Genomic DNA, 26213 nt, shown 5'->3' on the forward strand with positions numbered 1-26213 from the left:
AAGTCGGAACCATTAGCATGCTTTGAAACAAAATGTGTGTAATCCGTGCACACTTACCAGACCCCAGAGATGATGTGGGGCTTAAGAGAAATTAGGTAAAACCTAAAGAATAAAATCAGAGGCAGAAAAAGAAGACTTTGAAATTGAATCTAGATTTCCCTAGAAGTTTTGAATTTTAAAAAAAAACCCAAAAAACCCAACCTATAAATATGTAACTTGTGGCAAGTGGCCATTTTCATAAGCCCTGTTGCACAGCGGTAGGGGCATCAGAGTCTGAGTGAAATGGAGCTGTCTGACCCACACGAGGTTGTCTGCGATGTCCAGTGACAAAGAAATGCCTTGTCCCTTGAACATGTGATAATGAAACACATATATGTTAACAAATAAAGTGTTAGAACACAAAGTACATTTTAATGACTTTTCTCAGTCTCTTAGCTGGCTGCATTCTTACATTTCCACATTGAGTTTACGATTCTTGGGGAGAGTGGAAAAGGGAGCAATCTCATGATAGCTTGAGCTTAGAACCAATTTGTACTTGTAGAACTCTCTGGTGAGCATTCCAGCTCTAACCCATGTCCAGCTGTACACCCTCTAGCCACTGATCAAGACAGAATGTATTATAGTTGTTATTAAATATTTTTTTATTAATAACAAAGTATTTGAAATGAAATATATGAAATAAAATATTTTCATTTTTACCAGAGATTTTAGAAAATGGTTTGAAATGATGAGTATATTGTCATATTGCTGGTGTGTGTTGGGCTGGTTGCCAAATGGGAATATGATTTTGAGTAAAAGGTCCAGGTCATTCTTCCATTTTCTACGGTTTTCTTTATAACTAAAAATTGCTTTAGTGATGAATACTAGTGAATTTTACCCAACAACTGAGTATATAGCATACTGTGGTGTGTTAGTTAGGGTATGAGTTGGGTTGTTGTTGCAAAGGCATAACTTGATGGATTAGACAAGGTATAAATTAATTTCTCTCTACTTAATTGTTTGAAAGCAGAGAGTTAGTAAGGGCTGGTAGAGTGTCTCTACAATCACCTATATGTGGCTTCCATTTCTGTGTCTAAAGTGGCTGCTCCTGGTCTAGCTATCACTTCTGCATCCCAGTCAATGTGAAGGAGAAAAGAGGAATGCCAGTGCATACCCCTTCCTTTTGAAGACATGGCCTAGAGGTTGCACGTAATACTTCTATTCATTTCATGTTGGCAAGAATTTAGCTGCAGGGGCACACTTTGTTGCAAAAGGAGTCTGGAAAAATGAGTCCTTTATTCAGGTGGCAATGTGCCCAGGTATAATTGAGGGCTTTATTATGAAAAGAAGACAATGGATATTGGAGGACATCTAGCCATGTCTCACAATTGTGGAGGCTGTAGTAACATGAAAGGAGGAGAGGAGGACTTAGACAGGAGACCTTTATTGATTCTACAGCCAGAAAGACTTGAGGACAGCAGGGTTTTAGGATTTGGTTTAAATGTGGTGTGCCCTCTCTATTGCTATGGTAGAGGCCGCAGCCATGGAAACCAGGTGTGACATTGCCTTTGTTGCTTGGGTGTGACTAAGAAGATGGCCATAGAAATGGTAAGAAAGGATTAAACCTGAGGAATAACTCGAGTAGGTGATGAATAAGACCTGGAGACAGATCAAAGTGCAGAGGAGAAGGGAGTTTCAGGGAAGACTTCAAGGTCTGTAGTGTGTGAAAGCCAAAGACTGTAGGTTACGCTGACCCAAACAGGAAACCTGGGAGAGAAAACCAATTGTTGGGAAAGACAATGACCTTGATAGGCATAGTTTTCAGTGGCTCTTGATCATAATTCAGGTCTGGGACAAAAAAAGAGGTTGGTGCTTGGTCCATCCTTGAATCTCTGGGCCAATTCTAAGCTCTCTTAATTTCTCTTTGATTTTTTTTTCCAAGTAAACACACTTACAAACAGCCTGGAACCGGGGAGTTTTGAGATGTGAAGTAGAATGAGATTTAAATAATATGCCCCGTGACTGGGCATATAACCTTCATCACTCTTCATTTCGTTATTTTTAGAAAATAGGCAAAATAAATTAGCCTACTAAATATTGGCAGAAAATGCATAGTACCTATGTTGATACCCAGGTTTTGCTCAAATCTTATCAAGTTCTGAAACCAGACGTTTGTAATGATCAGAGTGTTCCTCTTAGATATTTATTTAGAGACGGGGTATCACTGTGGTGCCCAGGCTAGAGTGCAGTGGCACATTCCTAGCTCACTGCAGCCTTGAGCTCCTGGGCTTAAGTGATCCTTCTGCCTCAGCCTCCTGAATAGCTGAGACTGCAGGTACATGGCACCATGCACAGCTATCTCTTAGATATTTCTTTGTTATTTTACTAGAAACTTCCTTGGACTTATCTTTGAGGTCAGTTAAAGCAATCTACATATCAAAATGATTTTTTTTTCTAGTAATGTCCAGGTAACAATCCCCAAAGAGACTTGTGTTGCAAAAATTATAGATAACTCTTCTACATTCTTTCTAAATGCTGAAAGATGTATAAAAATTGCATCTGGTTAAACAACTAGATATTTTTTAAACTACTGGATGAACTCAGTCAAATAGTTTGTAATTGGTTAGTAAAGAAATAATGAGTAGTTTAACAAAATAATGGGTAGTTTGCCTAAATATAATCTGGATTTACATATTTCATCTCTAAATTTGCTTATTTGTGCTTAAGACTAGAAATTAAGTTTTCAGAGACATGGCTGCCCAGGGAAATTCTGTGTGGGTATTTGTGGTGGGAAGGGGATAAGTGACAATGCGTAGGGAGATTTCTTCCCTTCTCTCTGCTACTCAAGAAATGTTGCAACAATTTGGTCTTTGTGGAGGTTCACCACTTTGGATTTGCTTGACATTTCTGTCCAGTTTCTAAACAACACATTTTAAAATATAAGTGAACAAGTTCTTGTCACCCTGAAGAGGAAGGTGCATTGTTGTCTATGATGAAGGGCTTTCCTTTGCTGTAAAAGACAGTATTTGTTTCCTTCCTTTTAATCAACATTTATTTGAATGGTCAGTAGAGAAGATTCTTAACAAAGAACTTTGGTAATCAGTTGATTCTATTTGAGTCAAGAGATCAATTTTTTTTTTTTTTTTGGTCTGAAAATGCTGGCTAAGAGGATTACACCTTACAAGTAGGAACCAGTGGTTCTTCTGGTTAAAAAAAAATTATTTACAATGTGGGCCAAGATAAAAATGCTGCTATATAAAAGCATACCTCTCTTTCTAAATTCAGTGGTTGTTCCCTGCTTAATTTCTTTTTCCCTTTCAAAATCGTCACAGGTATCAGACAGTATTTTGAGCTAATGGCCTGGAAAAATTCATTATAAAATCATTTTGAATTAGTCAGGGAAAATGCAGAGCCTAACAACTATTGCCTTCTGAATTCCTACAGTTTTGTCCACTGTGGACATTTCTAAAATTTGGAGTATAAATGAAAAGGCTTTGAACTTGCTTCTGCTTGCCACAGTGGAGATCTGAGCCATTGATTTTGGATCAGTTGGCTTCTCATCTCTGAGGGAGGGAAAAGCAATAATAATTGAACACATTTCTTTTCAATAGTAGTAGTTTGGCTATAAGGATATTTGAGGTGGTAGTTTAAAAATTTTTAATGGTAACATGGGTGCACTAAAGTATCATAGTGGGAATGCAGGCAGGCACAGAATTTAGTTCTTAGAAGAATGTATTTTTTGGCTCTCATTCTATATCAGGAAATGACTACAGTATATTGCTCTGCAGGTCTTATACATTTCAGAAGAGTGGTACCATATTTAGCTTAAAACATTAGCTTTCTTTAGAGTGAGTGTATATACATGTGTGTGTACCTGTGAGCAGACAGTAATGTTAAAAATAATCCCTGATCTGAGTGCATGTTGGCCATTCAATTTCTGAACATTGGGCAGACTTTACAAATAACGTTGGGGAGCATTCTGATCTGTTTTACCAAATGAGGAGGAAGTAGCTTACAAATGGCCATCTACAAGTCACCAGCTTATCTATGACATTGGGTTGGGCCTGGCAAGAACTAACAAAGGGAAGCCCAACTATTTCATCAGCTGTATAAGAATGTGGGCACATTTTATTCCAGGCTCCTCACAACGAAGATCTGTAGTTGACAGTACAAGATTGGTGCACATGGACTAACATGTTGGGGAGGTTGAGAAAACGATGTTCATAGACAACCTACCTGGATTAGGTATTAGGCACTTATTCTTAGATATATAAATAAATGCAACTGGACTACGTTTATGAAAACATGTGCCTATTCAGAAGCACCTCGCTCTAAGTGTCACTCTATCGATATATACACTTGCTGAAAGGTTCATGTTTGCATTCATGGAGAATCATGTGGAGTAAATGATGTGCTAGAGCTGTCCCCTTTTGGCTCATGGGAGCCCATTGTTAGATTGTGAGAAATTTTACAAGGTGGTTGTTAAACACAGGCATTATCAAAAATTAAATTATATAAACTTATAATTAAATTATATTAAAAACAAAGGTAATGAATACCTCAAGCTCATTGCTTCCTAATTAACTTACCACATTTTACTACAAGATGATTTTGAGTTTAATTGCAATGACCATGTTTCTATGGTGAAGGCACTATATCATATTGTCTATTGCACATCTCTTCCCAACTCTATGTTCGGTGACATCTACTTGGTAACTTGAAATCAGGTAGATAGAGACTCAGGATACTTCTTTTTTTTGTTTTTGAGGCTTTTGATATATTAAAAAAAATCTCAAGAATGCCAAAATTGGTGAAAAATTATGGTATATTTTAAATATACATGGTACAATGTATTGTGATTCTGCTATTCACAAGATAATTTTAAATTTTAGAAAAAAATGTTAATTCATAGTATATGAAAAGATGTGTCCTAGACTTTAACCAGAGACAAAGGTTAAGCTGTTTACTTTTAATGGTCTTGGTTTCTGTCTGTGAGGTGTCATCTCATTTAGAGATGAAAACAAAGGTCTAAAATGGAGGCCCTTTGTGAATTCAAGCCTGGGGCCCTTGGTATTTCCAGGCACTGCCGTAAGTGGCCTTGCCTCATAATGTCTGATTTTTCATCTGTAAAGTGACTATAATGATAATAATATTCACTGTATAGTTGCAATGAGTACTCAGGAAGATCACATAAGGACATTATGACAGGTCAGGTCATTTATAAATGGCAGCTATTTGAAATTATCATCATCATCATCATTGCTTTATTGAGTACTTATTGTGTGTTGAGCCCTGTTCTAAGAACTTTACAAACATTAGCTCATTTAAACCTTAAACAGCTCCCTAAGCTAGGAAGAGTATAAGCTCCATTTACAGATGAGGACACACAAGTAGCAGTTTAGTCACTTGCCCAAAGTCATACAGCTAGCCTGTGGTGAGTTGAAATTGGAACCCAGGTCTGACTCCACAGTCCATGCTCTATATGTCAATACTTTCTACTTATTGTTTTAGTATCCCTTGCAGGGCATACAGTAGATGTTTAATAAAAACCTTTTTGGTAACACTGTTTATGGTGCTTTTTTTCTAAGATGTTCAGCCTCACTTCTTAGCTCCAGGTCACCAGAAAATTCCATTTCTGTTGTGAGAGGGTTCAAAGAGAATAACTGCTTACGCAGATGTAAAGCCAGCACTTGATAGGAGAATCTTGAGTATTTTGCAATATGTTTACTAAATGAAATGTAAGATAATTAACATACACATTTATGATTTTCTTTCTGAGGACATTTTATTTTCTGGTCTTCATTTGCTATGCTATTAAGAGAAGTTTTGTTTCAGTGGTTTGTTATCTGCTTTTATGAACTTCTCCCAACGAGACTCTGTAATCCAGCACATGGACACTGTTTCCCCTAATAGGATTTACCTTTATGAATATCTGAAAATCCTTCCAGAAGATTAAATTGTTTAGCTCAATATTTAATCTGTTACTTCCTTTCTAAAGACACCCCATGGACGTTGCCATGCATTTGGCTGATATGAGAGGTATTGATCAGTCATAAACAAACACAAAAAAATTGAGAATGACCAGTGCAACATCTCCTAGCTCCACCTTATAATTCAATTTTGATTTGAGCTGCTTTTGATTAATCTTCTTATTTGTGAGTGTGTGAATTCAAGAGGCTTGCTAAGTTTCTAAAGTTGCTGGGCATTGGTCTCTGGCGGATGGCTCAGCTAAAGAACAGTATGATTGCGTTTTTATGGTTTTCAGATATTTAATAGCTTCTTCCTGTCATTTTCTGAATGACTGAATACAGTTCAGCCCTCTGGGAGCAGTGCAGCATCCGAGAGCGGGAAGATGACTGAGGTCTGTGTACTTGACTGATTGCCTTAGTCTTAATTGTTCTCTTAATTAGCTGCAGTAGCAACGGCATCTGGGGAGAGATCACGGTATTGGTAAACAGCTCCACCTTGGAGCTCAGGGTAATGCCTTTTGGAATCCTGACAGTGAGCAGCTCATGCGCTCTCTCCTCAGAGATGGGGACCTGCCAAATCACCAGCCCCCAAGGCCGATGAGCCCCCTCTTGCGATCTGTCACTCTGGCCCCTGAGAAGCAGGTCTCCAACTGTTTGTCCTTAAACAAATACTGTTTTAATATGCAAAAAGTAGGCTTTATTGGGCTGGATGGATGAACATAAAACAAAAGGAAGGGGATAGGATTCACCAAGCAGGGCGTCCAGCTAGAAGGCAGGCTTGGCAGGAGGAGGCCCAGGAGCAGGGCTGCAGCCTGGGAGGGGTGGCTCCTCCCAAGCCATTCTTGTGTTTCCCATGAAGACATCACGAATGGGCTCAGCTTAGCTTGTCTCTGAGGTGTGGCTTGGCCTCTGAAACCTGGCTTGCCTATTCTTACTACCTATTTGGGATTTCTCCTCCTTTGTATTTCTCCACCGAGGTGTGGCACGGAGACATGAAACTTCATCCCTAACTGCCAGAAAAGGAAAAAGGAGAAAGTTCACCTAGTCTGGGGGATTTGGAACCCAAAGAGTGGAAAAACTCAACTTTTTTTTGTGTATATGTAAGTGACAGCGCGTTATTGTCAGGCTGACCCAACCAGCATATTTTAGAGCTTGTAGAACCCGTTCAGGCTCACATTCATGTACAGAATAGAAAGGAAAACAGGTGCTTAGGTGGCAAATTACAAGGTCAGTACTTAATAAATGTTTCAAAAAGCTATGCAAAGCAGTAACAAATTGGCATGGAGAAGCAAAATGATCTCAAAAATGACATGAATCAGTTGTCAATATTTGCAAGAAAATAAGGAGATCTATTGGAGTAGGACTCAAGGACATGGGAGGAACCTGTGAGGTCTCAGGCAAATCATTTACCTTTTCTATGTAGAATTCCCTTTTGATATAAACAGATAGGCCCTACGTGCTCCACACACTTACCACACAGATCAAATATGATCAGAATGAGCTTGCTTTGAAAGGAAAAGGCATTATTGAAAACAGGCTTTAGATAATTGTGGTTATATTTTATAGTGGTTATATTTATATGTGGTTATAATTGTAACACTTTCATGATCATAGGTGTATTTTCATTGCCTTGAAAATAAAGATGCAGCTCAGACATGGTGGCATTTCACATACATGTGTACATAGTTGTATGGTTGGCCATCTCCTTTTCCATCTCTCGTCCAGGAAATAACCTTCTTCGTAATTTAACCAGCCTGTTTTTCCCTACAGGGCAAAACCTAAGAAAAGAACAACTGCAGTGTTCTGAGAGTTGCCTCTGAACCCGAGCTAGTAGAATGTTCACAGAAAAGCAATGTCTGGGAATTTGAATGAGTTAAACTATGAGATCATGTTTTGAAGGCATGTGTCATACTATTTTCAGGACAGTGCTGAAAACCAAAGTGCCAGCTACTTGTGGCTATTAAAATGGCAAGGCTGCCTCTTGTCAAAAATGTATTCAGTAAGTTAACCCTGATATTATGCTAATATTGGAACAACTGCATTCTAGTTATCAAAAATACTCCCTCCCCAGAATCTCAGCTATATGATATGTTTTACCTTTGCCTTGCTATGGTGAGCTGCATTTCGTGACAGCAGAGTGCTAATTATGTTAGCTACCTTTTATACATATATATGATATCTATATTATATATCATATATTTATACATAAGATATCTTATATGTATGCATATATAATATATAACACATTATATAATATATAATGTGTGTGTGTGTGTATGTGTGTCACAGACAGCAAAATCTTTCTTTTGCTGGGCACGGTGGCTCATGCCTGTAATCCCAGCACTTTGGGGGGCCGAGGCGGGCGGATCACCTGAGGTCAGGAGTTCGAGACCAGCCTGACCAACATGGAGAAACCCAGTCTCTACGAGAAATACAAAATTAGCTGGGCGTGGTGACACATGCCTGTAATCCCAGCTACTTGGGAGGCTGAGGCAGGAGAATCGCTTAAACCCGGGAGGCGGAGGTTGCGGTGAGCCAAGATCAAGCCATTGCACTCCAGCCTGGGCAACAACAGCAAAACTCTATCTCAAAAAAAAAAAAAAAATCTTTCTTTTATGCTTTCCTTGGACCAAGGGGAAAGTCACATATTTTGGCAATAGGAACATTTGATTAATAGGCACTTGATCATTATTGATATGAATAAAACACCAATACTAATGAAGTCCATAAGAAGCACCTGTACAATTGTCATTAAGGTTTTTCCTAACAGAGGCATTGTGCAATACCTTCTCATCAAAAATTGCTATTATAGCTCTGTGTTTAGCATGTGCCTGAATATCAGTCCTAGGGTGCATTTATTTCCTACCATCAACACAGTGTCCTGTCTCCAATGTGCTACAGAGGGGTGTAGTTTGGCTGTCTTGGTTTCCATTCCCAATACTTCTTCCCATTGTTCTTCTCTACTCTAGAGGCTACAGAGGTAAATTTTCATCTTTTTTTGCCAATAATGAATGGCCATCCATTTGCCACAGTTCTAGCAGGGGAAGGAAAGAACCCCGGGCCCAAGAAAGCAGCAAGGGAGGGCAAACAAAACAGTAGCAGGAACCACCTAACTGCACTCCTTGTTATATGAAATAATAAATTGACATTTGTGGAAGTCAGCTTAGTTGGTTTTTTGTTATCTATAGCTGCAGCATTTCTAATGGAGGAAAGAGGCTCTATGAATCTGAAGAATCTATGAAGCACTAAATGTTAAATAAGTGGCCTCAATAGAAATCCTGATTTAATACAAACTCCTTTCTCATCTAGAGAAGCCTTGTTATTGATGATGAAGGGCTTGGCAAACTGTGGCCCCTAGGCCAATCCAGCCTTCTGCCTGTTTTTGTAAATAAAGTTTTATTGGCACGCAGCCATGCTCATTTGTTGACATGTAGCTACTTGTGCCCTACAATAGCAGAGTTGAGTAGTTGGGACAGAAGTTGTGAGACACCCTATGACCTATCTAAATGACCTGTCTAAATGACCTGTCCAAAGACATTTGAACTTTGTGCTTAGTGAGAGCAGTTCCTTCTGGCCTTTAATAAATAGCAAAGCTCTTCAGTAAAACCTTTTAAGGCATACCTTTGTTGCAGCGAGGAAGCTCTGGCAGGATGTGCATAAAAATTAGACTTTTGGTTTTCACCAGAGACAAGGATGCAACCTGTCTGGAGGGCTTGTGGGTGTGGGTGTGGGTATGGGAATGTACAGCGTCAGAGCCAGGAGCTGGCGGGCCTGTCCTCAGCCAGCCTTCTCTCCAATATCAGATTCCTACAAAGTGGATTCTAATCGGATGCTTGTGTCTCATTCTCCTTTAAGCAGATACCAGCTATACTCACTTGGAAAAATATATCCCAGTGTTAGAAAAATCTGTTCCAAAAACATCCAGTCTTTCACAGCCCTACAGGGCTGCTTCTGTTTGTGTGTTATCAGAGTACTTGGTTGCCTACCCTTGAGGGCATTTTTTTTTTTTTTTGGCGTTTAATGAAGAAAGGGAGAAAATCTCTCAAAACAACTGACAACTCCAAAAATTACGTATTCATGAAAACTGATGAAAATAAAGTCAGCATAGTTCTTACCAGTCTTCGCATTCTATCACCTTTCTCCACTTCAGGCCTTAGTTCATCATCTATCGTTAGTGAAATACTCATTCTCATTTTATTTGTATTTCAGTGCAGGCAGTAACCAATGCATTACTCTGTCTCCACTTCCCCAAATATGCATTTATGTTTTTGTTTTGGTAAGAGAAACAAAAAGGGCCAAAGTTGTCATAGGTTTTGATATAAGTCTACACCTTATTTTGCTTTTTTCTATCTCTTATCTTATAGACGGGGAGGTAGAAATCCAGTAAAAGTAAAAGAGCAGACTAGGAGAGAAGACAGCAATAGCAATACAAAGATGAATTTGATCCAGGTAGTGTTGGGAGTTAATCAATTTAGAGTTTCAGTCTATTCATGGTTTTGGTTTTTGCTTTAGAGAAAAATAAAAATCCTAAGCTCCCACAGAACATCTGGAAAATGAAACTTCTGCCTGTCATAATAAAACTAGCTGGAGATGTAAGCAAGCCTCCACACTCTGGAAAATACTTAGCCAAGTGAGACCTTGAGTCATTCCCGGCCTCTGAAATGAAAAGGATCAGATTATGTGAATGTTACCCTGAAGCTTGGAATATAAATTTGGTGGAACATCAGTCTCCTAAATTCAGGAATCTGGATTCAAGTTCCATGTGCGATTCTATGACATCCATTGACATGTTAATATACTGATCCTGAAAACCGATGCCCTGCGAGATGAACTAGATACTGAATTTGCAACATGCCTCCTATAGAGGAAGAGATTATTTTTATGATGTGCCTAAGACATTACCAGAAACTCAAGTCTGTGATGGAGGCAGTGAGATTGGAGGGCCCTGTGAAAGGGCACAAAGAGAAGGAGCTATGGAATCTACTGGGCAGGTATGGATACTGCAAGTGAGCTGAGTTCTCTGCCTGAAAAGAGGTGCTTTTCCAATCAGAAGTGGAGATATTCTGTCTTGGTGGAGCATTTATACTGCATCATACCCCTGACCCCAACATATGCCTGCCTCTCCAAGGGCTAGAGGCAGCGGCCCAAGCAATCATCGCTTACAAATGAGAAAAGAGAGACTCAGAGAGGGCAAGAGAGCAGTGAGGGACACCAGAACGAGGACTTGAACCTTAGTCTTCTGAGGGCAATCCTTCCTCTCTTTCTGCTATGTAAACTGCCTCTGATGAGGGAGAAATGAACCACTGGTGTAACCTCCCGGACCTTAACCTACAAAGAAACCAGATAGGCTTACAGGCAAACACCAGTTGAAGTTCACAAATAGTTTATTAGGTTAACCTTGACCCTCCAGTTTACAAGTTTGTGAAGCTTGGAACAGGAAGGGTAGGTGAGAGCTCAGGATGTTTAGATCAAAGCATTGCAATTCCTTGGCTCTGCCACAGAATGTCACCTTTACATCATGTACTTCTCGGCATGTCAGCATTTCCTAGGAGCAGAAAAAGAAGAGTTTTCTTAAAGGAGCTAGTTTCAAAACAGAATTATCTCAACTGGTGCTTGAATAAAGCACTTCTCAAGCTATAGAAATCGTTGGCATTGAAAAAATCCCCTTTCTTCTCTTCTGCCATTTTCCCCCTGGTTTATTATTTGCAGTGTTTAAAGGATTTGTATGCCAACTTTTCTCTATTCCTTCTTTAGTACAAGGTTTTATAAATTACACCTTTCTCCTTTAAAAAGATCTGAACCTTTGTATTTAAATTGTATTTAACCTACAGCCTAAACGATTCAAGTTTAGAGACTCTTAAGTACTTAATTCTAAGGATCCTATTTCATAGAAGGCTCTTTCAGAAAAGAAAGTATAAACATCAGCTATGTGAAGGGTTTAGGTGAAATGAATTTCCACAGACTGAAAATGGAAGACTTACATTGTGGGGAAGAGATGGTTTGTGAGGAGAAGCCAGCTGGAACTGGAGAGTAAGAGAGCATGAAAAGGATAGGACAGGAGGGCCCCTGATGGGAAGGATAGGGCAAATATACCGGTTCACCGCAGGGACAGAGGGAACCGTCAATCACCCAGCCATTCAAACCCCAAGGGTTTTTGAGGTTTGACATAAACAAACACTCCTTTAGTCACCATCTTTCTGGCAACGTGATTGTGCTGCCTTTTGAAGGAGGACTCAAAGAGTCATCAAGTCATGAGGTTTTATTGACCTCAGAGGCACTGGGAGGGGCTGCTGGAGGCATCTTGGGCCTTTGGCTGCCTGGATAAGGTGGCCTAGTCTTTGCTCCTTTTCTTCTATTTTTATTTCACTCTGCGGTGTTGGTTAGGAGGACACAGAACCTAGAGGCAATGTTTGGAAGTGCAGAGTATGGTGCAGGAGTCATTTCCTGACAAACACTCAAGTTTGTCATTTCTCCATTCTTCCTATTTGAAGCACACCTCACCCAACTGCTGCTCAGATTAAGAAGATCCCGCAGCATCCCCATGGCCTTTCATTGCTCCTGGAATTCTTGCTCCTTTTGGGTGTGCTTTGTTCGTTTCATAATTGGACTCTTAATTCAGCAATAGCTCTGGCCAATAGCTATTAATTATCACTTTGCTTGGTCTTCCCATGGCAATTATTAATTAAACTTCCTAGAGAGTCATAAAGACTCTCTAGGAAATTAAAGACTGTAATAATATTTTAGGAAGCAGTGTCCCATGATGTTGGAGGTCTACATTCTGTTCCAAAGGCAGAGCAGAGTTTGTTTGTTTAATTCACAAACATTTACTGAGTCCCCTCTAGGTAGAAGGCCCCATTCCAGGTTCCAGGCATACACTGCAGATGGCTCCTACTCTAGGGAGGAACTGAAGGTCATGGTGTGGAGTGTTTTTTGATCCAACTCTTAATTCCTATTGATTCTCCTTTCTCAACTTATGCCATTCCATTGAGAATCAGGTCCAACTTTCCCTTCTACTTTTATTACCCACTGTTCCCTCCCACAACCTTAAGGAGCACTCAGGTTAATTGCTCCTTTTCTGAGTTCCTATGGTAACTTTGTATAAACCTCTATTATAGAACTAATATTTTTATCATCATTAAAAAAACCTCAGTTGCTTCTCCCACTCTCAGTAAATTTTGCCAGGGTGAAAATTGCGTCCTCTTCAGCTGTGTACTGGATATCACCTAGCCTAGGGCTTAGCTGTTGGTGTTTAGTAAATATTGAAGTTTTGCAATTTCAACTTAAGATCAGCCTCAGAGTGCGGGCTCAGTTCTAAGAAAAACTTTAGAGTGGGAGCGGGGAGAACAAAGAGCAAAGTGGGCAAGGCCACGGAGCTGGCCTTCCATGGAGGTCAAGGTTCTGCTCAATCCAGCCCCTTAAGTAGCGCTGGCCCACCCCACTGCACGCTACAAGGAGCACAACCATTTCTGCTCAATCCACATGGTGTTTCCAGCTTCAACTTAGACTCTGCCCCTTTCTGTGCTCCTTGATCTCATCTTCTCTAGATACTTCTAATCCCTTAGCTTCAAGCTCCAGCTTCAAGGCTTTCTTTCTCTCTAAATTGCTTGGGCATGATTTTCTGGCTCTGACCCATAGCACTCCCCCTTGGACCTGATGTGGCACTTTACCCTCTGCTCTGGCATCTCAGGGCCAAGGTCTTGCCTGTCACAAAGCCCCTACTGACTCATACCCCAGAGTAGCTGGCTGACCCTGTGATAGGATTTTAGGGAAAAGCCACAATGAGCCAATCAGTACTCCATGTCCAAATTTCCTCCCTTAACATATAGCTTTCACAATAGCTCCCAGAAATATTTTCTGCTTTTATTCAAAATGCAAAGGCCCATGGATGGAGTCATTTAAGTCTCTAGCATGTATAGTATGTGCAAAAGAATTGGAAAGAAATTTTTTTGGGAGGAAGATAGATCTTGTGGCTGGTGGGATTCAGTTTTGGAGAAAGGCTCTACTGCAGTGCAGATAAAAGCTGGAAAGACGAGTGCCACCCATACTGCAGAAGGGGTAGACTCTGGGGGGTATCTGTTGTTTTTGCCACCCAATATCCATTCACCTTTCTTCTGGTAAAGGTAATCTGATTCTTCTCTTTGGAACCACTGTTCCAACAACTTCAGCCTATAAAGTTTGAGTGGTGTTGAGTCAACCACTGACTTTGGAAGGGCACATATGAGTCAGGTTGGCCAGTAATACATCCTATCCCTGGCCACTGAGATGGTTCAGGGAGCGTCAAGCCTAAGACTTTCATTCAAACTTACAAGGAAAATAACTGTCCCTTTTCTCCTGTGCTTGCAGTTGTGAGAGTTTCAGCCTGGAGAGGACCACCCTGCTGGAAGGGTGTCCTGGGAATGAAGTCCACGTAGGTGAGAACACACACCAGGGATATGTAGCTGGATGGACTCAGCAGCCCTTGGGGAATAAAGCCAGGTGTGCTTTCTATATTTCTACTAAGATCATTTTTTCTATTTTTTTTTCTACTCCAGTTTCAGTTGCTATTTTTTCTGTCATTTTGCAACCAAAGCTGCCCTGACTAACATAGCACTAGGGGAAGCATCTCTGGGTTTGATCGAGGTCAGAAGGCGTGAGCTTAAACCACACCTGTGTCACTCACCAGCCGTGTACTTAGCTTCCCAGAGTCTTGGTTTCCTTATCTGTAGAACTCAGTGAATAGTGTCTATACTGCAGTGTTTTAGTCAACATTCTTGGTAGTAAGCAGCTGAAATGACTCTGGTTAACTTAAGCAGAAAAGTGCTTCATTGGAGGCGTATCAGGTAATTCACAGAACTGAGGAGAAGGCTGGAACCAGGCTTGCAAAATGGGCAGAGACCAAGAGGAGCTGAGCAGCCAGAACCTCAGCTAAAATGCAGCTAGGACCTGCATTTTACCTCTCCATGCACCCCCAAAGATACACATGGCTCATAGGTCATTCCTCTTGGTGTTACTTGCTCCTTATTCAAAGCTTGCCTGGGGCTGCATATCCTGTTGGTCAGAAGGTAGAGAGTTCCTTTTTTGTTGTTGTTGAAGCAGAGTCTCACTCTGTTGCCCAGGTTGGAATACCTGGTGCAATCATGGCTCACTGTAGCCTGTGCTTCCTGGGCATAAGCAATCCTCCCACCTCAGCCTCCCAAGTAGCTGGAATTAGAGGTGCATACCACCATGCCTGGATAATTTTTGTAGAGATGGGGTTTCACTGTGTTGCCCAGGCTGGTCTTAAACCCCTGGACTCAAGCGACCTGCCAGCCTTGGCCTCCTAAAGTGTTGGGATTACAGGACAGGAGAGAGCCACTGTGCCCAGCCAAGTTTCTTTACAAGGCTTGGGTATTGAGCAACCTGGCATAATGACAAAAGTTCATGACAAATAGCTGCTACGAGAATTATAGGAAGTCACGGCTGTAAAAGCCTGCCGTACTGTTTTATCAAGGCTAGTTCCTCTTTCCTTTCCTCACATTTCTGATCAGGGCTGACCCTACTGATCTTTGTCTTCAGAGAACCAACTCTGCCAAAGCCCCAGATCTAACAGGCCACATGAGGCTGGACAGAATTTTTCCTCCTCTGTACACCAAGACATTTAATGACTTTTCTTCTTGTTGGATATGTCTTCATTCTGTTAAGTTTTCCCAACTTTCCTTTGCTGTTTGTAGTGACAACTACTCCTTTAGTCTGTTAGATTCTTGAGGGCATAGTTAGCATCTATTGCATCAATTTCCTAAAACTGCTTAGGTTATATTCTAACACATGCTGGCTGCTTTTTGGATCAATGTTTATTTACTGATTGGTCCAAAATTAGGACTGGCTGTTTGACCATTTCAGGAAGACCGTGGATGGGTTGTATTTCTTATGCCAATACCTGTGCCTGGCATATATAAGTATCCAATATGTATTTGTTGAATGAATGGGTGGATGGTATATAGTAGGTGGCCTCTAGTACCATGCTACAAAAATATTGAATATAGCTGCAGCAACATTGCTCCAAGACTGCTGCTCGTTCCTGTAAGTGTGTCCTTGTGCTATGACACTTGATAACTATCTCACTCATTGCCACCAGATCAATGTAAATGATATTAGTGACGGCTTACTGAGCACTGCCTAATCTCATGTAAAAGGCAGAGGTGTGCACTGGGGAATTGAATGCCTCATTATATGGTGGACAGAAGGGCTGGGAAGCCATTCCAACAATAGGCATCTAGGAAGACCTATTATGTACTGGGTGCTGATACACAAAGTTGACAGAAATGTAGCCTGTGCCTTTGAGGAACTCAGAGGCTAGTGGGCTCACGAAGTCTGGCTTCTTAGATGCTCAGAAATGAGTCCTTAGCAAAGACTGTATCCTTGGGAAGCATAAATAAAAGGTGGAAAGATTGCCGTATGTTGGTGTAGGTTTTAAGTTCCAGGGAATTCTCTTGGAGAAAAGATTTCTAAACATTTCTTTTCTATAATTCAGGCTTACTCAATATAGTCGTCCTTGTTTCCTGACATCTCCGATATCTCTCAAGATAGCTTATTATCAAAGTTCCAGGACTTAATCTTTTTTTTTATTTTTTATTTTTTATTTTATTATTATTATACTTTAAGCTTTAGGGTACATGTGCACAATGTGCAGGTTAGTTACACATGTATACATGTGCCATGCTGGTGTGCTGCACCCATTAACTCATCATTTAGCATTAGGTATATCTCCTAAAGCTATCCCTCCCCCCTCCCCCCACCCCACAACAGTCCCCAGAGTGTGATGTTCCCCTTCCTGTGTCTATGTGTTCTCATTGTTCAATTCCCACCTATGAGTGAGAATATGTGGTGTTTGGTTTTTTGTTCTTGCTATAGTTTACTGACAATGATGATTTCCAATTTCATCCATGTCCCTACAAAGGACATGAACTCATCATTTTTTATGGCTGCATAGTATTCCATGGTGTATATGTGCCACATTTTCTTAATCCAGTCTATCATTGATGGACATTTGGGTTGGTTCCAAGTCTTTGCTATTGTGAATAGTGCCGCAATAAACATACATGTGCATGTGTCTTTATAGCAGCATGATTTATAGTCCTTTGGGTATATACCCAGTAATGGGATGGCTGGGTCAAATGGTATTTCCAGTTCCAGATCCCTGAGGAATCACCACACCGACTTCCACAAGGGTTGAACTAGTTTACAGTCCCAACAACAGTGTAAAAGTGTTCCTATTTCTCCATATCCTCTCCAGCACCTGTTGTTTCCTGACTTTTTAATGATTGCCATTCTAACTGGTGTGAGATGGTATCTCATTGTGGTTTTGATTTGCATTTCTCTGATGGCCAGTGATGGTGAGCATTTTTTCTGTGTTTTTTGGCTGCATAAATGTCTTCTTTTGAGAAGTGTCTGTTCATGTCCTTTGCCCACTTTTTGATGGGGTTGTTTGTTTTTTTCTTGTAAATTTGTTTGAGTTCATTGTAGATTCTGGATATTAGCCCTTTGTCAGATGAGTAGATTGCAAAAATTTTCTCCCATTTTGTAGGTTGCCTGTTCACTCTGATGGTAGTTTCTTTTGCTGTGCAGAAGCTCTTTAGTTTAATTAGATCCCATTTGTCAATTTTGTCTTTTGTTGCCATTGCTTTTGGTGTTTTAGACATGAAGTCCTTGCCCATGCCTATGTCCTGAATGGTGATGCCTAGGTTTTCTTCTAGGGTTTTTATGGTTTTAGGTCTAACATGTAAGTCTTTAATCCATCTTGAATTAATTTTTGTATAAGGTGTAAGGAAGGGATCCAGTTTCAGCTTTCTACATATGGCTATCCAGTTTTCCCAGCACCATGTATTAAACAGGGAATCCTTTCCCCATTGCTTGTTTTTCTCAGGTTTGTCCAAGATCAGATAGTTGTAGACATGTGGCATTATTTCTGAGGGCTCTGTTCTGTTCCATTGGTCTATATCTCTGTTTTGGTACCAGTACCATGCTGTTTTGGGTTACTGTAGTCTCGTAGTATAGTTTGAAGTCAGGTAGCATGATGCCTCCAGCTTTGTTCTTTTGGCTTAGGATTGGCAATGCACGCTCTTTTTTGGTTGCATATGAACTTTAAAGTAGTTTTTTCCAATTCTGTGAAGAAAGTCATTGGTAGCTTGATGGGGATGGCATTGAATCTATAAATTGCTTTGGGCAGTATGGCCATTTTCATGATATTGATTCTTCCTACCCATGAGCATGGAATGTTGTTCCATTTGTTCATATCCTCTTTTATTTCATTGAGCAGTGGTTTGTAGTTTTCCTTGAAGAGGTCCTTCACGTCCCTTGAAAGTTGGATTCCTAGGTATTTTATTCTCTTTGAAGCAATTGTGAATGAGAGTTCACTCATGATTTGGCTCTCTGTTTGTCTGTTATTGGTGTGTAAGAATGCTTGTGATTTTTGTACATTGATTTTGTATCCTGAGACTTTGCTGAAGTTGCTTATCAGCTTAAGGAGATTTTGGGCTGAGACAATGGGGTTTTCTAGATATACAATCATGTCATCTGCAAACAGGGACAAATTGACCTCCTCTTGTCCTAATTGAATACCCTTTATTTCCTTCTCCTGCCTAATTGCCCTGGCCAGAACTTCCAACACGATGTCGAATAGGAGTGGTGAGAGAGGGCATCCCTGTCTTGTGCCAATTTTCAAAGGGAATGCTTCCAGTTTTTGCCCATTCAGTATGATATTGGCTGTGGGTTTGTCATAGATAGCTCTTATTATTTTGAGATACGTCCCATCAATACCTCATTTATTCAGAGTTTTTAGCATGAAGGGTTGTTGAATTTTGTCAAAGGCCTTTTCTGTATCTATTGAGATAATCATGTGGTTTTTGTCTTTGGTTCTGTTTATATGCTGGCTTACATTTATTGATTTGTGTATATTGAACCAGCGTTGCATCCCAGGGATGAAGCCCACTTGATCATGGTGGATAAGCTTTTTGATGTGCTGCTGGATTCGGTTTGCCAGTATTTTATTGAGGATTTTTGCATCAATGTTCATCAAGGATATTGGTCTAAAATTCTCTTTTTTGGTTGTGTCTCTGGCAGGCTTTGGTATCAGGATGATGCTGGCCTCATAAAATGAGTTAGGGAGGATTCCCTCTTTTTCTATTGATTGGAATAGTTTCAGAAGGAATGGTACCACTTCCTCCTTGTACCTCGGGTAGAATTCGGCTGTGAATCCATCTGATCCTGGACTCTTTTTGGTTGGTAAGCTATTGATTATTGCCACAATTTCAGAGCCTGTTATTGGTCTATTTAGAGAGTCAACTTCTTCCTGGTTTAGTCTTGGGAGGGTGTAAGTGTCGAGGAATTTATCCATTTCTTCTAGATTTTCTAGTTTATTTGCGTAGCGGTGTTTGTAGTATTGTCTGATGGTAGTTTGTATTTCTGTGGGATCGGTGGTGATATCCCCTTTATCATTTTTTATTGTGTCTATTTGATTCTTCTCTCTTTTCTTCTTTATTAGTCTTGCTAGCGGTCTATCAATTTTGTTGATCCTTTCAAAAAACCAGCTCCTGGATTCATTAATTTTTTGAAGGGTTTTTTGTGTCTCTATTTCCTTCAGTTCTGCTCTGATTTTAGTTATTTCTTGCCTTCTGCTAGCTTTTGAATGTGTTTGCTCTTGCTTTTCTAGTTCTTCTAATTGTGATGTTAGGGTGTCAATTTTGGATCTTTCCTGCTTTCTCTTGTGGGCATTTAGTGCTATAAATTTCCCTCTACACATTGCTTTGAATATGTCCCAGAGATTCTGGTGTGTTGTGTCTTTGTTCTCATTGGTTTCAAAGAACATCTTTATTTCTGCCTTCTTTTCGTTATGTACCCAGTAGTCATTCAGGAGCAGGTTGTTCAGTTTCCACGTAGTTGAGTGGTTTTGAGTGTGTTTCTTAATCCTGAGTTCTAGTTTGATTGCCTGTGGTCTGAGAGACAGTTTGTTATAATTTCTGTTCTTTTACATTTGCTGAGGAGAGCTTTACTTCCAAGTATGTGGTCAATTTTGGAATAGGGGTGGTGTGGTGCTGAAAAGAATGTATATTCTGTTGATTTGGGGTGGAGAGTTCTGTAGATGTCTATTATGTCTGCTTGGTGCAGAGCTGAGTTCAATTCCTGGGTATCCTTGTTAACTTTCTGTCTCGTTGATCTGTCTAATGTTGACAGTGGGGTGTTAAAGTCTCCCATTATTAATGTGTGGGAGTCTAAGTCTCTTTGTCGGTCACTCAGGACTTGTTTTATGAATCTGGGTGCTCCTGTATTGGGTGCATATGTATTTAGGATAGTTAGTTCTTCTTGTTGAATTGATCCCTTTACCATTATGTAATGGCCTTCTTTGTCTCTTTTGATCTTTGTTGGTTTAAAGTCTGTTTTATCAGAGACTAGGATTGCAACCCCTGCCTTTTTTTGTTTTCCATTTGCTTGGTAGATCTTCCTCCATCCTTTTACTTTGAGCCTTTGTGTGTCTCTGCATGTGAGATGGGTTTCCTGAATACAGCACACTGATGGGTCTTGACTCTTTATCCAATTTGCCCATCTGTGCCTTTTAATTGGAGCATTTAGTCCATTTACATTTAAAGTTAATATTGTTATGTGTGAATTTGATCCTGTCATTATGATGTTAGGTGGTTATTTTGCTCATTAGTTAATGCAGTTTCTTCCTAGCCTCGATGGTCTTTACAATTTGGCATGATTTTGCAGCGGCTGGTACTGGTTGTTCCTTTCCATGTTTAGTGCTTCCTTCAGGAGCTCTTTTAGGGCAGGCCTGGTGGTGACAAAATCTCTCAGCATTTGCTTGTCTATAAAGTATTTTATTTCTCCTTCACTTATGAAGCTTAGTTTGGCTGGATATGAAATTCTGGGTTGAGAATTCTTTTCTTTAAGAATGTTGAGTATTGGCCCCCACTTTCTTCTGGCTTGTAGAGTTTCTGCCAAGAGATCCACTGTTAGTCTGATGGGCTTCCTTTTGTGGGTAACCTGACCTTTCCATCTGGCTGACCTTAGCATTTTTTCCTTCATTTCAACTTCGGTGAATCTAGCAATTATGTGTCTTGGTGTTGCTCTTCTCAAGGAGTATCTTTGTGGCGTTCTCTGTATTTCCTGAATCTGAATGTTGGCCTGCCTTGCTAGATTGGGGAAGTTCTCCTGGATAATATCCTGCAGAGTGTTTTCCAACTTGGTTCCATTCTCCCCGTCACTTTCAGGTACACCAATCAGACGTAGATTTGGTCTTTTTACATAGTCCGTATTTCTTGGAGGGTTTGTTCATTTCTTTTTATTCTTTTTTTTGTAAACTTCACTGCTCGCTTCATTTCATTCATTTCGTCTTCCATCACTGATTCCCTTTCTTGCAGTTGATCGCATCGGCTCCTGAGGCTTCTACATTCTTCACGTAGTTCTCGAGCCTTGGCTTTCAGCTCCATCAGCTCCTTTAAGCACTTCTCTGTATTGGTTATTCTAGTTATACATTCGTCTAAATTTTTTTCAAAGTTTTCAACTTCTTTGGCTTTGGTTTGAATTTCCTCCTGTAGCTTGGAGTAGTTTGATCGTCTGAAGCCTTCTCCTGTCAACTGGTCAAAGTCGTTCTCCGTCCAGCTTTGTTCCATTGCTGGTGAGGAGCTGCGTTGCTTTGGAGGGGGAGAGGCACTCTGCTTTTTAGAGTTTCCAGTTTTTCTGCTCTGTTTTTTCCCCATCTTTGTGGTTTTATCTACTTTTGGTCTTTGATGATGGTGATGTACAGATGGGTTTTTGGTGTGGATGTCCTTTCTGTTTGTTAGTTTTCCTTCTAACAGACAGGATCCCCAGCTGCAGGTCTGTTGGAGTTTGCTAGAGGTCCACTCCAGACCCTGTTTGCCTGGGTACCAGCAGCGGTAACTGCAGAACAGTGGATTTTCGTGAACCGCGAATGCTGCTGTCTGATCGTTCCTCTGGAAGTTTTGTCTCAGAGGAGTACCTGGCTGTGTGAGGTGTCAGTCTGTCCATACTGGGGGGTGCCTCCCAGTTAGGCTGCTCAGGGGTCAGGGGTCAGGGACCCACTTGAGGAGTCAGTCTGCCCATTCTCAGATCTCCAGCTGCGTGCTGGGAGAACCACTGCTCTCTTCAAAGCTGTCAGACAGGGTCATTTAAGTCTGCAGAGGTTACTGCTGTCTTTTTGTTTGTCTGTGGCCTGCCCCCAGAGGTGGAGCCTACAGAGGCAGGCAGGCCTCTTTGAGCTGTGGTGGGCTCCACCCAGTTCGAGCTTCCTGGCTGCTGTGTTTACCTAAGCAAGACTGGGCAATGGCGGGCGCCCCTCCCCCAGCCTGGCTGCCGCCTTGCAGTTTGATCTCAGACTGCTGTGCTAGCAATCAGCGAGACTCCTTGGGCGTAGGACCCTCCGAGCCATGTGTGGGATATAATCTCCTGGTGCGCCGTTTTTTAAGCCCATGGGAAAAGTGCAGTATTGGGGTGAGAGTGACCCGATTTTCCAGGTGCTGTCTGTCACCCCTTTCTTTGACTAGGAAAGGGAACTCCCTGACCCCTTGCACTTCCCGAGTGAGGCAATGCCTTGCCCTGCTTCGGCTCGTGCATGGTGCGCTGCACCCACTGTCCTGTGCCCACTGTCTGGCACTACCTAGTGAGATGAACCTGGTACCTCAGATGGAAATGCAGAAATCACCCATCTTCTGTGTCGCTCACGCTGGGAGCTGTAGACTGGAGCTGTTCCTATTCGGCCATCTTGGCTCCAGCCCCAGGACTTAATTTTGCCCAAGTCTTTTTGCTACTACAAAATGATAATTCTTTGTATGCATATGTGTGTATCTGTATATGTGTATGTGCATGCACGTGCATCCATGCATGTGTGTATGTGTATATGCATGTGTGCATACATACATACACATGCATGCATGTGTATATGCATGTGTGTGTGTGCTTGCCCATGTTCATGTGTGGAAATGATGAGTACAATGACAGAAGGGTAGAAACCAGAGCTAGATGGAAGACAGAGTAGGAATGATGTGTAACTTAGCTCTTTCTTTCTTTACTCATCATCAGTGACCCTGTTAATGTTTTGTCTGTTTAATGAATTGGTATTAGTTAATTACTTGGGCCATTAAAAGTTCAAGAACCTCCAGTTCTTTTTATTCCCTGAGTTCCTAGAGCCTGGAGGTGGCACAGCCAGGCAGACAGGGGTGAAAGGAGATTTGTTCCCAACTGGCTTCCCCTCTGCAGTCTCTGGCCTGCCTTTAATGATAAACATTTAGAGCCTCCTTTGAGGGCTGCCCATTCATTAAAGGAGTTAACGCAGTTTCCTCTATGGTGACTTTGGGAGGAAATTAATTCTCCCCCAGTGCCTAGTTCAGTGCCCCAGGCTTAGAAGATGCTCAATAACACATTGCTCATCACTGCTGCTCATCTGCCCTGTGCAAGAACTTTGGAAGCTGGCCTTCTGCTCGGTGAATTTGCCATTCTCAGTGTTTCTCCCAAATGCTCTCAGTTGTTCCACAATCCCACAACGGTCATATGGTCCGTGCACCAGGCATGTAATTTGCTAATCTCATGATTAGACATGCACACAAACCTCAGTGCTATTCTAATGAACTCTGCAGTTGGCCTTTGGATTGTTTCTCCCTAAACAAATCTCTAGGCACATGTGAATGGAATTAGTCTTCTGATCACTCTGACCTCCTGCACACTGTTGTTGAATACTTTTAGTCTGTAGTACTTCCTGGGTTGTGGGCAGCCCAGGTTTCTGTGATCAGAGGCACATACCTTGGTTCTGGGTGCTGTCTTTGGGTCGACAATCCCCAGGCGAGAGGGGCCTCACACTTAGTCTTGATGTGCTTTGGATGTAGAAGTTTTGGGAAGATTTCTGGGTTATTTCTTTCTCTGATTTTATTCTTTTGTTGTCTTGGCAACTAGAATAATAGTCTTAAGTGTCTGTGTTTGTATATTCTTTGGAGAATATTTTATCACAAATCTTTTCCAAGAATGCCTATCTCATGATGCATTGATTATTCCTCAATGTCTTCCTTTTTTTTTTTTTTCTGTATATGCTTGTTTTCCACAGTTGGGAGAAAGAAATGTTTGTACGACGTAAACAGCCTCTAGGTTGAGGATTAGGAGTGCTCAGTTAGTACTTTACCTCTCTGGCCTTCAGTTTTCCAGATTAAATGGACCAAATGATTTCTTTAAGCCCTGAACTGCCACGACCCTAAGCCAGAATTAGGTAAGAATGTGCCATTACTTGCTGACATCCTTGCAAGAATCTTCTGCATTATGCATGGGAATTTTCCAATTCTTCACTCTTCATTGACTAGAATTTTTTTTTTTTTTGGTTGAAATATGTTACTTCATTTACCTCAGTCCTCGGTATTTTGCAGAAGGGGTAAATGCTGCCATGTAAACACATGATACTGGCAGAAGGCTGGTGCTGCTTCAAGCCAGTGTTTTACTGTGGTTGGAGTAAATGTCATGGAGGTTTCTTCCTCTTTTCTTTAACAGATCTCTTGTGCTTTTCCCCTTCCTTCTACAGTTGGTACCCCTTATCCCCTCTTTGTCATTTATCAACTTGAGGGCTTCAGGGAAAAACTTCAGACATCCACGAGGAAGTGAATCCTCAAAGAGGACTGCCCTGGAGGCTCTTGGGAGGGTGGAGCATCCAAATGGATTGGCTTGGAATCCCTGACACTCAACTACAGATGCTTCCTTCAATGTTGACTTTGGAGCCAATTGAGTCTGCTTGTGTGTGACAATTGGGGAGGGATCTTTGGTGCCTGTGGCAGGATGGCTTCTCCTTGGCCATACCAGGTACACATTTCAAAGCCAGAACTGGAAATATCAGCTTCACTCAGGATAAATTTTCCTTACATCTTTGGTCAGTAAAAGCAATATACATTGCAATAAAGGAAGGCAGCGTTTTTCCTTTATTGTAGCATTTAGGTAGAAAAGAGAAATATGAAATGATAATAGTGCATGATATGACTTTAAATGATAACTTCATGTTTATCTTTTAAAATGTAATAATATCACTGGTAATGACATACCACTTGTTAAAATGTGGAAACACTTCTCTACTGGGTGGTAAGGAGCTGCTGCCTCACATTTCCTGTGTGGTCATGCTACCACAGCCTCTCTGGTCATTACCTCTGGGCCCCCAGGATGTCCTGATCATCCTGGCATAACAGGTGGCCTCCTGCAAGGCTGCTACAGCTCCAAGACTGCTGTTTGTTCCTGTAGATGGGTGCTCTGACTGTGCCACTTGTTAACTACAGTGCGCCTTACCACTAGATCAATGCAAATGAAAATAATAGTGATGGGCTCCCACTCTGTGTGTAGGACCATTCTGTAAACTCTGGAGGGAAGTGGCCCTGTTTCCATTCTTAGGGCCAGACACACACGAGCACTTGATAAACATTTTCTCAGCAGTCAATGATCTCATGCGATTCCATCAGTGACATTATAAGGCAGGTGTTTTAAATCCAGTTTTGTAATTGCTAAGAAGATGTCCTAAAGAATTCAAATAACATGACCTGAGTCCAGCTGAGAGGGGAAGGAGTGGATAGTTCAACCCAGGAGTGTCATGGCAGGTTAAAAGACTTCACTCTTCTAGGGTGCTTGAGATGTTCTGAAACCTCACAGGTACCTGCTAACTTGAATGGTCTGTGATTCCCGATTTTGAAGGTAACTTGGTTTTAGGTTCCCCGAGAAAGATGGGTGGGAGGAAGGGTACTGTGTATGTGAAATGGAGCAGGAGGGATGGGCTGTGGATCCAGGAAAAGGGGCTCTAAGATCATCCTGAGAGATTACAACACACCTGCCCCCAACTATTGGACCCTATAAACCAAAAAGTCCTTCCCTATAGGAAGAGGAGAAAAAAAAGACAAAATTATGTGAGAGGAAACTATACATCAACCATCATACCACCATACCTGCTCCCCCATTAGCCCTCTGAATATAGAGAACGGAGCGTCAATTTTCCAGAGGTACTAATGGTTTCTAATTAAGGCAGAGACATAGAACTAAGTGTTTAGAGGCCTTTTGCTGTGTTAAATAAGGCCAGAGCAATTGGAGGAAGCTGCTCAGAATAGGGAGACTGGGTGTTTGAAAGCCAAGCCTCTCAAGCTTCTGAGTTTGTGTAGAGCCCCTTGGTAGCTTACCCTGGCTTCCTTGTATCATCAGAATTGCATAGAGACAGAGAACACAAGCCTTGGGCTATGTTTTAGTAATTACAGTTAATAAAATTCATTAAGAGATTATAAATTAATG

At 41.2% G+C, this 26213-nt stretch overlaps 1 long non-coding RNA gene across 2 annotated transcripts in view, besides 1 other annotated feature; it reads left to right on the forward strand.

The window, feature by feature from the left end:
• Positions 1-26213, forward strand: part of LINC02934 (long intergenic non-protein coding RNA 2934) — a 298411-nt gene that overhangs the window by 117572 nt on the left and 154626 nt on the right. Inside the window, exon 2 of one of the 2 annotated variants that reach the window (NR_187140.1) lies at positions 14292-14423. The exons of the other annotated variant lie outside the window; for it this stretch is intronic. This is a non-coding gene — a long non-coding RNA (long intergenic non-protein coding RNA 2934). The remainder of the gene's footprint in view (positions 1-14291; positions 14424-26213) is intronic. 2 annotated transcript variants of the gene reach the window in all.
• Positions 22363-22862: an enhancer, noted in NCBI's record as "H3K4me1 hESC enhancer chr2:66157143-66157642 (GRCh37/hg19 assembly coordinates)". NCBI's record gives its function as "activates a minimal SCP1, AML or CMV promoter by ChIP-STARR-seq in naive H9 embryonic stem cells {active_cell/tissue: H9 hESC(naive)}" and the evidence as "EXISTENCE:reporter gene assay evidence [ECO:0000049][PMID:30033119]".

This window comes from Homo sapiens, chromosome 2 (genome assembly GCF_000001405.40).
Source record: "Homo sapiens chromosome 2, GRCh38.p14 Primary Assembly".
Lineage (NCBI taxonomy): Eukaryota > Metazoa > Chordata > Mammalia > Primates > Hominidae > Homo > Homo sapiens.